The sequence below is a fragment of the Homo sapiens genome, chromosome 15 (assembly GCF_000001405.40).
Source record: "Homo sapiens chromosome 15, GRCh38.p14 Primary Assembly".
Taxonomy (NCBI): Eukaryota; Metazoa; Chordata; class Mammalia; order Primates; family Hominidae; genus Homo; species Homo sapiens.
The window spans coordinates 81,194,827-81,210,275 of NC_000015.10; the positions used below are offsets into that span (position 1 = coordinate 81,194,827).

General features: G+C 42.8%; 1 protein-coding gene across 15 annotated transcripts in view; it reads left to right on the forward strand.

Annotated features, from left to right (window-relative positions):
• IL16 (interleukin 16) overlaps positions 1 to 15,449 on the forward strand; it is a 131,347-nt gene that overhangs the window by 12,115 nt on the left and 103,783 nt on the right. For 4 of the 15 annotated variants that reach the window (NR_148035.2, NM_001352685.2, NM_001352684.2 and 1 more), the window contains exon 1: positions 2,053 to 2,326. The exons of 8 other annotated variants lie outside the window; for them this stretch is intronic. Coding sequence is in view for 1 of the 7 variants with exons in the window: in NM_001352686.2 (NP_001339615.1) it covers positions 4,985 to 5,036 (52 nt within the window). In the remaining 6 variants the exon portion in view is untranslated. Of the gene's footprint in view, positions 1 to 2,052; positions 2,327 to 4,649; positions 5,037 to 5,574; positions 5,645 to 15,449 lie in introns of those variants that run through there. 3 more of the 15 variants (NM_001172128.2, NM_001352686.2, XM_047432453.1) reach the window with 3 other exon arrangements.

The window sequence follows — 15,449 nt, forward strand, 5'->3', positions numbered from 1 at the left end:
TTTCATCTAATTTTCATCGTAGCAAACTAAGGCTGTGAATGACCAAGATCACACAGGAAGCTCTTGGTTGAGCTTCAAGTGGTGCTTGAACTTCCTAGTTCTAACCAGGGCGGGGCTCTCTCACCTGCGTCTTCCTCCCCGTCTCTTCTGGCTTGCAGTGAGCTGGACTATGGAGTGTTGGGCAGGGTGGAGACTCTTTCTGCAGGATGTCCTGAAGGGCAGAGGGGTGATAAAATTTCCACCTTGAAGCACAAACCACCCCGTATTAGGAAAAATCAGGGCCAAGTCTCAACTACACTTTGGAATAAATTTACCTTCTGAGAGTGAGAAAGAACAGATCTTCGGAAAATAGAGGGAGAGGCGGGAACTGGATTCAGGTGCCGATGACAAGAGAGAGCTTAGACTTAGTGGAGGAGGGGGGCTGTGGGGCCCTCCCAGGCCTCAGGATCCAAGAAGGGCAAGGCCAGCCCCCATAGCCCTGGGGTGCTGAATTGCTCCTCAGCCTCTCTGCCAGAGCAAGATGGAAGTGGGGCCTGAGTCTGTCCTGGCCCCACCGCACCCAGGCCATTGTGAGAGAGATTGTGGGTGTGAGCTGAGCAGGCGACACTGACAGAGGCGCTCACTCTCTGCAATTTAGAAATTCCTTCACTGCACTCCAGACTCACTCCAGACTCAGCCCTACAATGTCCCCTGTGCCTGCTGACAAAGGCAGCTTTATCCCCAGAGTGCTCCCTCCTCCCGTGCTTCCCTTGGGACCGTGGGCCTGTGTTCTCCAGCAGCAGCGGCTAGATCTTTGCAGCCTTGCATGGAATTTCAAGGGCTTCCTACAGGTTGCACCTACACCCTCATTAAAGCCCCCAGGAAGCCCTGAAACATTTGGTGCTGAGCGTTGGGAAACATTCCATTCTTTAGAAGAGAGGTCCATACAAAAACCTCAGCCTAGCATGTACACAGGGCTCACAGAGACTGAGCTTAGGAGAGATGTGTGGGATGCTCTTTGCGGGGCAGATGGATTAAATGCCACCTTATGATTAGATTCTCCAAGGGGCTACGTGGGGGAAAGGCACTCTGGTCTCATGACACTAATGCCAACAGGACACACACAAAAGTGCCCCATTCTTTTATGCTGCAGTTTTCAACATGCTCTGTATACGTTAGGTCATGGGCTCTCGCACCTGAGCACGCACCAAAATCACCTGGAGGCTTTGTGAAAACAGAGTGCCAGAGGTGCTGCTTCAGGAGGTCTAGGCCAGGGCCTGAGAACTTGCATTTCTAGCAGATGCTGCTGATGCAGCTGGCTTGAGGACCACTGAGTTACATAAGCTTCTGAGAGCCAGTCTGTTGTTTTTGGGAAAGGGTGGCACAGACAAGAAATGAAATGCTATGGAAAAAGCCTGGGCTTTGGAGACAGGTGGATTTTGACTTGCTAACTTGCTAACTGTGTGACCTTGGGGAAATTCCACGGCACGTAGTAGGTGTTTAATGAACGTTTGTGCAGTGGCTTTCTTTGTCTGCAAAGCAGGTGATATATTTACCAGATTGATGGCAGGATTGTATGTGATGACTTTTTTCCTCTTTTTATTAAATTTTTATATAATTTGAGAGGAGTTCTTGCTATGGTTTGCCCGGGCTTGTCTTGAATCCCCCGGCTCAAGTGATCCTTCTGCCTCAGCCTCCTGAGTAGCTGGGATTATAGGCACGTGCCACAGCTTCCAGCATGTGATGAGGTTTATAGAAAGCTCCTAGCAGCGTGCCAGGCACATTGCAGGCACCGAGTCATGTCTGCTACCTTTCGGCTCTCCTAGTCATTTCTGTGTTGTCCAAAGAAGGCAGGGGCAACTGGGCTGGACCAAGGAACCTCACTGTGGTTCTGTGGCTCTGCACTGGGTTTGCCTCCTGGGTGTTGCCGGCCAGCCCAGCAGATGGTGGACCTTGTTCTGAGGCTGAGCTTCTCAGCACTGGCAGCCCCCCTTTTTGGATCAAGCCTTTTCACGTGGAGCAGTCAGATGGCTCAGATCAGGAGTCTTCGAGCAAATCCATGCCAGGTGGGACACATTTGTCCTGAGTCACCTGTCCAGAGCAGGTGGTGAATATTGTGTCCTACTCACGGCATCTCAACTATCGGAGCCTGGGATCTGACTCAAAGGCCGGCCTCCGTCTGAGAACTGAGCGTCCATTTCTCAATCCTTGCCGGCTCTGACCCAGGCCTGGGCCACAGGCTGTCCGGGAATAAGTGGTGCTGCAATCCCTGCTGGGCAGATGGAGAGAGGAGCAAGGGAGATGGCAGCCCCGGGGGACTGTGCATAGGGAGGTAGGTGGGCACCAGGTGAGTGAATGTCTGTCAGGCAGCTGCTCTGTCCAGGTGGCCGTTACCGGAGGGAGGAAGCTGGCCTCTCTGACCTGAATGGGGAGGGTCTTGGTTGCTAGGACGTAACTTCATATTTGGAAGTGGTGCTGGGGTCAGGGGCAGGAGCAGAAGCCAGGATTGTGTTGGTAGGAATCTCTGTGTCACCATGTCACAGTTAGGTACAGGAGGAAGCAGCTTCAGAAGGCCAGAGCGGGCAGAGGGATATCGCTTGACCTGGCTCTGCAGCACGGGGAGAATTTGGTCCTGAGATTTCTGACTTTTCAGCCTCGTCTCATCCTTGGCAATGGGGTGTGGAAGGAGGTGGAGGAAAGGAAGGCAGCAGGAGAGAGAAAGGCCACGGGGCACCTGATGGGGGCTTCTCTGCTGCCTGGCCAGACTCCTTTTCTCCAAAGTGGGCACAGCGGGTGGGCATCTCTGCAGATTGACCATGGGAAAAGTGTTCACTCTGCTTGCTTTTTGATAAGGGTCCCGTGACTAATTCCTGCATTGGTAGGTCCCAGGATTGGTGTTTTTTTGTTTTTGTTTTTTGTTTGTTTGTTTTTTTCTTTTTTGGTCCATAGCAAGTTTGCTTTCTGTAGCTGGAGAATGAGGTAACAGCATAAGAATAGAGGTTCCCTGTGGAATACAGGGAAGCATCTTCTCCTCCTGCCCTTATCAGGTGAAATCCTCCCACTTCAGGCTGAGCCATACAAAGACGACCCCTTTGTCCCAGGAGGCCAGTTCAAGCTCCCACTGGGTTCCTGGAAGCAGCCTGGGAGCTGCCGTCTCTGTGGCTCCCCTTCCTATTTCTCCAGTTTCCCCCGGAAGGAGAAGACCGTTCAGCCTTTTTCCTCCTCTGTTCTCCTTCTTTACCCTGAAGTTAAGTGATGGTCAACATTTACGAGCACAGTAGAAGGCACCTCCCCTGCTGCAGATATGACGTGGGCATGAGCCGTCAGGTGGGTCAGACCCTTGAAGCCTCTACTGCTCATTTATTCAATCCCCAGTGAGTCTTTTAAATAAAACTTAGTACCCCAACCATTTCCTGGCCACTCTTCAAGCCCCAGGCACCAAGCTAAAATATTCACATACCTCATTTAATTTAAACCTTACAACAACCTGGAGCTTAGGGAGTATATCCCCAAACCGAGAGGTGAGGAGGCTTGCACAGGACCACTCAGCTAGACGTTCCCAGGACCCAAACCCAGCTTGACTCCAAAATCCATGCTCTCACTGGCTTTGTGGCATGCCTCAATAAATACTTGAGTTTCCTCAACACAAAGATGGTCATATATCCATAGGGTTAAAAAATAATCTCTGTTGGATGCAATTGACTATAGAATTATTATTTTCTAATTGTTTGTATTCATGGAAACCTTTTTAGAATTAAAATCTATCATGAAAACTCATGTATAATCAGTTAAGGCAGAATTATTTTGGCAGAGGCAGACCAGGACCTTGAGACCTGCCCTTTTGTCAACCCCTCCCCCTTTCTGGTTCCCAGCAGTGGCCCAGGGGTATAGGAGTGAGAGGGAGGGAGGTACACTTTGAATTGAAATCTACTGGCCAGGTACAGTGGCTCACGCCTGTAATCCCAGCAATTTGAGAGGCCGAGGCGGGCGGATCACTTGAGGTCAGGAGTTCCTGACCAGGCTGGCCAACATGGTGAAACCCTGTTTCTACTAAAAATACAAAAATTAGCCAGGCGTGGAGGCACATGCCTGTAATCCCAGCTACTCAAGAGGCTGAGGCAGGAGAATTGCTTGAACCCGGGAGGCGGAGACTGCAGTGAGCCGAGATCATGCCACTGCACTCCAGCCTGGGTGACAGAGGGAGACTCCATCTCAAAAAAAAAAAATATATATATATATATATATATATATATATAAAATACATATTTTTTATTGTGCATTTGAATTGGTAATACATTTTCATATATAGGTTACGTTTTGCTATTAAAAAGCAATTCATTGTGAATAGCAATATGCTCATAAACACGGGGAGAAAATAGGCATGGGGCAAAATAAACAAATAGTTCCAAGAACTTGGAGTTGTGGTTAACTAGGAAGGCAGCTTGAAATCAGGAATTTACTTCAAGTTCTTCTTTTGAATTCCTGTTGAAATAAGGACGAATCTATGTCAGTCTTGTAAACTAGACAGTGTTGCTCAGTGTGTGCCAGAAACACTGAGAAGTCTCAGTGGATGTCTCAGGTGGATGTGAAGGACGTTGGGTGGAAGGGCGGAGCCCATCAGGAGGGAGGCGCTGTTCTTGCCACATCTGGAGATGCTGGAGGAGAGGTTTGCTTTGAGTGGGAGCAACTGGTAATGCTGGACAGTGACCCGATGCTGGGATCCCGCGTGGAGATCTCCATCGGTCTTGCCCCTGGCTGAGTCTTGGCATGTGCAGCTGGGATGGAAATGCTCCTCCAGTGGACAGTTACAGCAGCTAAGACATGGCTACCTTGCTCAGCCAATAGGAGGCGGTCACCTACAAACATCCCTTCCAAAGGTTCAAGGCTCCCCTGAGAACTTGGATGCTGGGGAATGGTGCACCTTCCCTGCTGCTCACTGCACCTCTCACCTGGCAAAGAAAAGCCACAGGAAATCTAAGCCCTTTCTGCAGTCTGGCATCGGCATATGAAAGATTCCAACGAGGAATTTCAGAACTCATCCCAGCTCCCGAATCTGAGTAAGCACAGACCTCTTGAGTAGGGCTGAGCAAATGCGGCAAAATCAATGCACATATGACAAGATTCAGTGGCCCAAAGAAGGGAGCTAAATGAGGAATCAAAGCAAATACCCCATATGGAATTGCTGTAAAAAATCAGAGAAAACCTGAAAGTAGTGGTTTTCAAGCATGACCCACTAGTGGATTGAAAATCAACTTAGCGGGTTGGAACCAACTTCCTTTTTCTAAAACAAAAAAAGAATAGCATACATCAGATTGCATCAGGTTCTTAGCAAAATCATATTTTATATTATCTTTTTCATACCAAAGATATTTTATATTATTTTTATTATACCGTAGTAAAGGTATTGTTTCATGAAAGTTTTTAGTTATATATATTTATTTATTTATGTATACATATAAATCTTATGTGTATGTGATCCATGTACTATGATGTAAAATGTAAATTATTATGGTAAGTCAAGATTTTTTTAATTTTTAAAATTCTTTAAAAATTATTTTTATTTATTTATCTATTTATTTTTTGAAACAGGGTCTCACTCTGTTGCCCAGGCTGGAGTTCAGCAGTGCAATCCCGGCTCACTGCAGCCTTGACTCCGTGAGCTCAGGTGATTCTCCCCCTTCAGCCTCCCGAGTAGCTGGGACTACAGGCACACGCCACCACACCTGGATAATTTTTTGTATTTTTATTAGAGATGGGGTTTTGCCATGTTGGCCAGGCTGGTCTCAAACTCTTGAGCTCGAGTGATCTGCTCGCCTCAACCTCCCAAAGTGCTGGAATTAAAGTCGTGAGCCACCATGCCTAGCCTAGGTCAAGATTTTAAAAGTTTCATAAATAGTCCTGTAGAACACTGGGTGGAGTTTGGAATGGTGAAAATGTGTCAGGAGAGTATTGTAACTGAAATATTCCTGATCTTCTCTTTCAAAAAGATGGCCTTCTTCCCATTATCCAAGGCAAGGATTTCAGGCCTGAGTCAGCCATAAGCTCATCTGTCTTTTTTTCTGTACTTACCTCCTCATAAATGGATTAAGAGAGCCTCGAGCAATGGTGAGGGTTGGAGAAGGTGGACAGGTGGCCCAGTCTTATGCGCTTTCCCTCTCTTCCTTCCTTCTCCTCATCCTCCAAGGATGGTTGTAGCCAACTCCAGCCAAAGTGCAGATGCCAGAGAATCCTGCAGCAGTTGCTGAGAACACAGGATACCTGTCACATTTACTGAAGCAGTGGCAGGACAATGCATCCCCTGCATTGAGCTAGTTGTCAGAAGCAGAAAATAAAAAGTGTGTGTGTGTCTCTGTGTGTGTGTGTGTGTATGTGTGGTGAAAAAGAGAAATATATCTAAAAATAATCTTAAAAGACATGATATGTAATTTCTTACCAAAACTCAAGCCAAAGCAATCACACATACACCCACACACATGCACGCACACACCCCCATCCACACACACACACACAGAAGTAAATGACAGCAGTTGGACCATCAAAATCTGAAAAATTCTTTCAGGCCAAAGACTCCATAATGCTCTATAGCTGTTATTTTGCATTTCTTTGAATCTCCTCTCAGTTCTATTTAGAGATCACGAAATGTCTAATTTAATGGCCCTGCCCTTAGTTCTCCAGGAAGGAGATCTTAGTTGTTCATCCACGAACAACTTTTTGAGCCACTTTCCTACTTCTATTTCTTCCAGTAGGCAGATCATATTTTGGGTTTCTTTGTTTTAAGTTTGTGGTTTTTGTTTTTCCCTCTTTTTCTTTTTAGGTTGTAGTTAAGTGGTGTATACAAATTTATTAGCAATTTATTATATTGCCACTTTGTATTTTAATCTTTAATATTAAATTTTGTGTTTGGTAAAAATGCTGTAATTAGTAAAATGTAGAGTAATCAGTTTTTACCCATTCTCTGCTCTTCAATAACAGCTTGTTGAGTATTCTCTCTGATTTATTCTAGCATCAGACACACACACGCGCACACACTGTGCTGCAGCATGTTTTGTTTTCCAATTCTATGTAGCACAAAAAGACTTAACCTCATTCTTCTCCATATCTCAACAGTATTCCATGTATCTTGATGATCACTTACAATATAAGGCAAGTAAGCATAGGCAATTCATCAGATTTGAACCAGAGATGGGGTTACTAAGTGAACTATTAGTTCCCCAGAAGAATTAGCCCAAGCAAAGGTGTTGTACAGTATGTAAAATGTCTTTTCCTACTTTATACATTTTATCTGGCCAGAGAACACCTTTAAACATTAAATGCAATCATCCTTAGTCATTCAACAAATATTTACTGAGCAATTGATAGAGGCCATTCGCCAAGCTAGGCCTCATGGATCAACTCGAAATATGACAGACAGACTCTGCCCTCAGGGAGCTTAGAGTTCAGTAGACATGACCAGTGGTGACACAAGCCACTGGAGTAGCATCAGATGAGTGCTTTGGTAGTGGAAGAACCTGTTCTCAGAGCACAGACAGCTTTGGGGGTCTGTATTGGTTTGTGGTTTCATTTTAAAGAAGTGTTATCCAAAAATAGGGTTTGAAGAGTGATGAAAATTTAGCATCATCAAGGACTATAGAAAATTTGGAAGGCATATCTCCTAATGCTATCCCTCCCCCCTCCCTACACCCACAACAGTCCCCAGTGTGTGATGTTCCCCTTCCTGTGTCCATGTGTTCTCATTGTTCAATTCCACCTATGAGTGAGAACATGCAGTGTTTGGTTTTTTGTCCTTGCAATAGTTTGCTGAGAATGATGGTTTCCAGTTTCATCCATGTCCCTACAAAGGACATGAACTCATCATTTTTTATGGCTGCATAGTATTCCATGGTGTATATGTGCCACATTTTCTTAATCCAGTCTATCATTGTTGGACATTTAGGTTGGTTCCAAGTCTTTGCTATTGTGAATAGTGCCCCAATAAACATACGTGTGCATGTGTCTTTATAGCAGCATGATTTATAATCTTTTGGGTATATACCCAGTAATGGGATGGCTGGGTCAAATGGTATTCCTAGTTCTAGATCCCTGAGGAATCGCCACACTGACTTCCACAATGGTTGAACTAGTTTACAGTCCCACCAACAGTGTAAAAGTGTTCCTATTTCTCCACATCCTCTCCAGCACCTGTTGTTTCCTGACTTTTTAATGATCACCATTCTAACTGGTGTGAGATGATATCTCATTGTGGTTTTGATTTGCATTTCTCTGATGGCCAGTGATGATGAGCACTTTTTCATGTGTCTGTTGGCTGCGTAAATGTCTTCTTTTGAGAAGTGTCTGTTCATATCCTTCACCCACTTTTTGATGGGGTTGTTTTTTTCTTGTAAATTTGTTTGAGTTCATTGTAGATTCTGGATATTAGCCCTTTGTCAGATGAGTAGGTTGCAAAAATTTTCTCCCATTCTGTCAGTTGCCTGTTCACTCTGATGGTAGTTTCTTTTGCTGTGCAGAAGCTCTTTAGTTTAATTAGATCCCATTGGTCAATTTTGTCTTTTGTTGCCATTGCTTTTGGTGTTTTAGACATGAAGTCCTTGCCCATGCCTATGTCCTGAATGGTATTGCCTAGGTTTTCTTCCAGGGTTTTTATGGTTTTAGGTCTAACATTTAAGTCTTTAATCCATCTTGAATTAATTTTTGTATAAGGTGTAAGGAAGGGATCCAGTTTCAGCTTTCTACATATGGCTAGCCAGTTTTCCCAGCACCATTTATTAAATAGGGAATCCTTTCCCCATTGCTTGTTTTTGTCAGGTTTGTCAAAGATCAGATAGTTGTAGATATGCGGCATTATTTCTGAGGGCTCTGTTCTATTCCATTGGTCTATATCTCTGTTTTGGTACCAGTACCATGCTGTTTTGGTTACTGCAGCCTTGTAGTATAGTTTGAAGTCAGGTAGCGTGATGCCTCCAACTTTGTTCTTTTGGCTTAGGATTGACTTGGCAATGCGGGCTCTTTTTTGGTTCCATATGAACTTTAAAGTAGTTTTTTCCAATTCTGTGAAGAAAGTCATTGGTGGCTTGATGGGGATGACATTGAATCTATAAATTACCTTGGGCAGTATGGCCATTTTCACGATATTGATTCTTCCTACCCATGAGCGTGGAATGTTCTTCCATTTGTTTGTATCCTCTTTTATTTCCTTGAGCAGTGGTTTGTAGTTCTCCTTGAAGAGGTCCTTCACATCCCTTGTAAGTTGGATTCCTAGGTATTTTATTCTCTTTGAAGCAATTGTGAATGGGAGTTCACTCATGATTTGGCTCTCTGTTTGTCTGTTATTGGTGTATAAGAAAGCTTGTGATTTTTATACATTGATTTTGTATCCTGAGACTTTGCTGAAGTTGCCTATCAGCTTAAGGAGATTTTGGGCTGAGACGATGGGGTTTTCTAGATATACAATCATGTCATCTGCAAACAGGGACAATTTGACTTCCTCTTTTCCTAATTGAATACCCTTTATTTCCTTCTCCTGCCTAATTGCCCTGGCCAGAACTTCCAACACTATGTTGAATAGGAGTGGTGAGAGAGGGCTTCCCTGTCTTGTGCCCGTTTTCAAAGGGAATGCTTCCAGTTTTTGCCCATTCAGTATGATATTGGCTGTGGGTTTGTCATAGATAGCTCTTATTATTTTGAAATACGTCCCATCAATACCTAATTTATTGAGAGTTTTTAGCATGATGGGTTGTTGAATTTTCTCAAAGGCCTTTTCTGCATCTATTGAGATAATCATGTGGTTTTTGTCTTTGGTTCTGTTTATATGCTGGATTACGTTTATTGAATGCTAAATGACGAGTTAATGGGTGCAGCACATCAACATGGCACATGTATACGTATGTAACAAACCTGCACGTTGTGCACATGTACCCTAAAACTTAAAGTATAATAATAACAAAATTAAAAAAAAAAAAGAAAAAAAAGAAAATTTGGAAGGCATTGGAAGCAGCCTGCACCAAGTCCTGGAAGCTAGAGAGCGCATGGGACATTCAGGGGACTGAAAAGGTTTAGTGCTGTAATAGAATGGAGTTCAAGATAGGGCAGAGCAAGAGCCTGGAGGGGTTGGGGGAGCAGACCATGATGATAAAAAAATTGACAGGCCACAAAACAAGACAAATTTTAAGTCTCAGTGACGGTTGTTAATACGATTTTGAAATAAAGCAAATGATAAATCTTAGACCGGGCGCAGTGGCTCACACTTGTAACCCCAGCACCTTGGGGGGCCAAGGTGGGTGGATCATTTGAGGCCAGGAGTTCAAGACCAGTTGGCCAACCTGGTGAAATCCCATCTGTACTAAAAATACAAAAATTAGCCGGGCATAGTGGCACGTGCCTGTCATCCCAGCTACTCGGGAGGCTAAGGCAGGAGAATGGCTTGAATCTGGGAGGCGGAGGTTGCAGTGAGCCGAGATCACACCATTGCACTCCAGCCTAGATGACAGAGCAAGACTCCATCTCAAAAAAAAAAAAAAAATCTTGAGAGATGATATATAATGATCTATGATGTCCCCTAAATAGTCAATCACTCTGAGAGCACCTAGCACCTCACCTCTTGCATAGGGAAGAGGCATCAGATAGTGCCATTCTTGCAATCAATGAAGAGGAAAAATACAGGCTCAAATATTGCTTTGAAAAATTCTTTACATAGCCACCAGTAATATCAAATAAAATGAATGAAACCTATGATTCATTAAGAAGGAAAAGAAAGTGTGAATAAGTTGACTGGAAAACAAGAAAAGGAATAATTAAGGAGCCATAATAAGAAAAACAAAACATGTGAGAAGAAAGATGAATCAATTAAGCTCTGTAGTAAGATTACACATTAAAATAAAAGAGACTCTCAGATTCAGTTTAAAAAAGGGAAACAAAAAAAGCCTAAAGAAACAAACTCTCTCTCCCCAGTCCAATTATATCCCACTTTCAAGAGACACATTTAAAACTTAATCACATAAAGTTACAAATAAAGGGATAGGAAAATACTGTGCAAATGCAAATTAAAAGAAAGTGAGGTGTCAGTGTTAATTTTGTCAGACAAAATAAAAATTGAGGCAACTATTAAATAGATCAAGAATTACTTTTTTACAAAATGATAAAAAGAGCACTCAATGAAGGCATGAAAATCAGAAAACTTTGGGTAAACATAAAGCGTCGAAATATGTAAAACAAAAAAATTAGAGATATACTCCAAATATGGTGTTAGATTTCAATGTACACCACTGTTAAGATTTTTTCAGATTAATTAGACAAAATGTACATAAAGAGCTTGAATTCTATGACTTACAAAATTGAATATGTGCTTACATATATATGCAGTCATGTGTTGCATGGCAATGAAGATAAGTTCTGAGAAATTTCATCGTCGTACAAACGTTACATAGGGTACTTAAACAGACCTGGATGGTATAGCCTACTACACCCCAAGGCTATATGGTATTGCCTACTGCTTCTAGTCTACAAGCCTGTACAGCATGTTATTGTAGGCATTTGTAACACAGTGGTAAGTATTTGTGTATCTGAACATTTGTAACAAAAGGTACAGTAAAAATATGGTATTTTAATCTTATGGGACCACTATCATATAAGCAGTTCTTTGTTGACCATAATGACTGCATTTTAATATCACATTTGAATATATACATATTTGAAACCCAAAACACAGAATAATCATTCTTTTCAAATGTGCACAGAACACATAAAACACTTAGTCACATCACATACTGGCTAACAGAGTAAACCTCAATGAATTCCAACAAATAAAAATAAGACACATCCTGTGGCACGATGCAATTAAACTGGAATTTTCTAATAAAAAATTGTAAGAACAGCAACACTAAATCTGGGAAATTTAACTACATGAAATTAACAATAACACCAAAAATCTCCTGAAGAACTGAGTTTAAATTGGGAATCAAAACTGCAATTACAGACCATTCCTAAAATAACATTTAGAATATTGTATTTCACAATTCCTGGGTTGGGGCCAAAAGGATGTTCAGAAGAGAATTTCGGGCTTTAAATAATGATGATGATGATGATGATGATGATGACGATGACATGGTGGCAATAAAACCACCCAACAAACCATGCTAAGAAATTTACATCCAGGCCAGGTGTGGTGGCTCATGCCTGTAATCCCAACACTTTGGGAGGCCGAGGCAGGTGGATCACGAGGTCAGGAGATCAAGACCATCCTGGCTAACACGGTGAAACCCCGTCTCTACTAAAAAAACCACAAAAAATTAGCCAGGCGTGGTGGTGGGCGCCTGTGGTCCCAGCTCCCCTGGGGAGGCTGAGGTAGGAGAATGGCGTGAACCTGGGAGGCAGAGCTTGCAGTGAGCTGAGATCATGCCACTGCACTCCAGGCTGGGCGACAGAGTCAGACTCTGTCTCAAAAAAAACAAAAAAAAAAAAAAACAAAAAAAAGAAAAGAAAAAAGAAATTTACATCCAATATTTCAATTTATAATCACAGTGTTGCTGTGAGATGGCTAATCATCTGCATCTTACAGATTTTTAAAAAGTGATTCACAAAAAGGCTAAGTAGATTATTTTAAATTTCAACTTTATTTTAGATACAGGGGATACATATGCAGATTTGTTACATGGGTATATTACAACTAGATAGTGAGCATAATACCCCATATGTAGTTTTTTTAACCCACGCCCCACCTCCCACCCACCCCCTCTAGTAGTCCATGGTGTCTGTTGTTCCTCTGTTTATGTTACTATGTGGCCAATCTTTAGCTCCTACTTACAAGTGAGAACTTGAAGTATTCGGTTTTTTGTTTCTACATTAATTTGCTTAGAATTATGTGTGGTCTCTAGCTCCATCCATGTTGCTGCAAAGGACATGATTTCATTCTATTTTATGGCTGCATAGTATTTCATGGTGATACGTACCACATTTTCTTTACTCCACCGTTAATAGGTATCTAGGTTGATTCCATGTCTTTGCTATTGTGAATAGTGCCACAATGAGCATACAAGTGCATGTGGGTTTTTTTTTTTTTTGGTATAATGATCGGTTTTTCTTTGGGTATATATGCAGTAATGGGATTGATGGGTCGAATGATAGCTCTACCTTAAGTTCTTTGAGAAATCTCTGAACTGATTTCCATAGTGGCCAAACTAGTTTACATTCCCATCAACAGTGTATAAGCATTCCCTTTCCTCTGCAACCTCACCAGCATCTGTTGTCTGTTGACTTTTTAATAACTGTCATTCTGACTGGTGTGAGATGATATCTCATGATTTTTATTTGAATTTCTCTAATGATTACTGATGATAAGCATTTTTTCATATATTTCTTGGCTGCTAGTATGTCTTCTTTCAAAAAGTGTCTGTTCATGTCCTTTGCCCATTTTTAATGGGGTTATTTGGTTTTTGCTTGTTGATTTGTTTAAGTTCCTTATAGTTTCTGGATATTAGACCTTTGTCAGATGCACAGGTTGTGAATATTTTCTCTCATTCTGTAGGTTGTCTTTTTACTCTGTTGATAGTTTCTTTTGCTGTGCAGAAGCTCGTTAGCTTAATTAGGTGGCATGATCTCAGCTTACTGCAATCTCTGCCTCCCAGGTTCCAGCGATTCTCTTGCCTCAGCCTCCAGAGTAGCTGGGATTACAGGTGCCCACCACCATGCCCAGCTAACTTTTAAAATATTTTTAGTAGAGATGGGGTTTCACCGTGTTGGCTGAGCTAGATTCAAACTCCTGACCTCAAGTGATCTGCCCACCTTGGCCTCCCAAAGTGCTTGGATTACTGGCATGAGCCATCACACCTGGTCCATATTTTGGTTTTAAAAATGTTTTTGCAACTCTTATCTCATTGTCTCCTTTTCCCCCAAACCTTGGGAGGAAGGTAGTAGAATATGTTAATGATGCATATTATCAAATATACATATAACAGCAGTATTGCTATTTCTGAAGGGCAATATGGCACAGGGGTTAGGTGTGTGGGCTCATTAATCTGCCGGGGTTGTGGTCTGACTTTCTCAGTTACTAGCTGTGTAATCCCAGACAATCCACTTTACCTCTCTGTGCCTCAGTTTTCTCACCTGTTAAATGGAGAAAGTTAAAAATAGTATATATCTCATATGGATATTATAAGGATAACATTATAGGTACTTATATGAGAAAATTCACCTAAAACAGAACAGTGCACATAGTAATTGCTTGATAAATATGATGATGATTATTATTTCTATTTTAGCATGGGGGCACTAATTCTGAGGAATTGAGCACTCAATGAATTCAATCACATTTATTGAGTCCCTTCAATGTTCCAGACAGTGTGCAAGAGTTATGGTTGATGGTGCTCAGAGGATAATGATGGAGACAGGGACAAACCAGATCATTCTTATTTCTGATGTGGCCAAAGTGCAGGCAAAGACATGTCAGGGAAATCATGGGTACACCGAGGAGGGCAGACAGTGTGGGGAGGGGCGTCCTGGGGGAGGTGGCTGTTGAAAGCAGGATATTCCAGGAAACCAGTCTGGATGGTGGTAAGAGGTGGGAATGGGCAGAGGGATATGGGCTCGCAGGGGCTTGCAGGAGCTCACAGGGGCTTGGAAGAATTTGCTGGAGGTGGCAGAAGAGGTGATGAGCACAGTGGAGTCAAGTCTGAGGCAGGGATGAACTGGGACAACAGAGAGGGGCATTGTCCAGTTCAGAACCTGAGCTCTCTTGTTCTTTTTTTTAAGGAGCACAGGTGATCCTTAAAGATCCAAGAGTGAATTCTAAGCAAGGGAGGGTTTCAGTTGTCTAAGCAAGTCCTGCAATCAAAGGTTCCAGGTCAGCAAGGCCAAAGGTGACAGCAGGTCCTCATATCCTTTCTGGAGAAGCTCGGAGTACTCAATAGCCCACACCCACTCACTTCTCCCTTCTCACGGGGACACTCTAGTCCATGTCCTGTCTGCCTACCTCCCTGCCTCCCCTCGCCAGTGGCCCTGCACCCAGGCGTGACTCAGTTGGCCCAGATGAACTCTGCAGGCTCCAGCAATGCCATGGTTACACTGATTTCAAAACAACATCTGGAATTGTCACTTCTTGTTTTTGTTGCAATTGCTTTTGGGGACTTGGCCAAAAATTCTTTGCCAAAGCAGATGTTGACAAGGGTACTTCTTAAGTTTTCCTCTAGGATTTTTATAGTTTGAGATCTTATATTTACGCCTTTAATCCATTTTGAGTTGGTTTTTGTATATGGTGAAAGGTAAGGTTCTGGTTTCATTCTTCAGCATATGGCTAGCCAGTTTATCCAGAAACATTTATTAAATAAGGAGTCCTTTCCCCATTGCTGGTTTTTGCTGGCGTTGTTGAAGAGCAGATGGTTGTAGGGGTGCAGTTTTATTTCTGAGTTTTGTATTTCGTTTCATTGGTCTGTGTGTCATTTTCTATACCAGTGCCATGCTGTTTTGGTTACTGTAGCCTTATA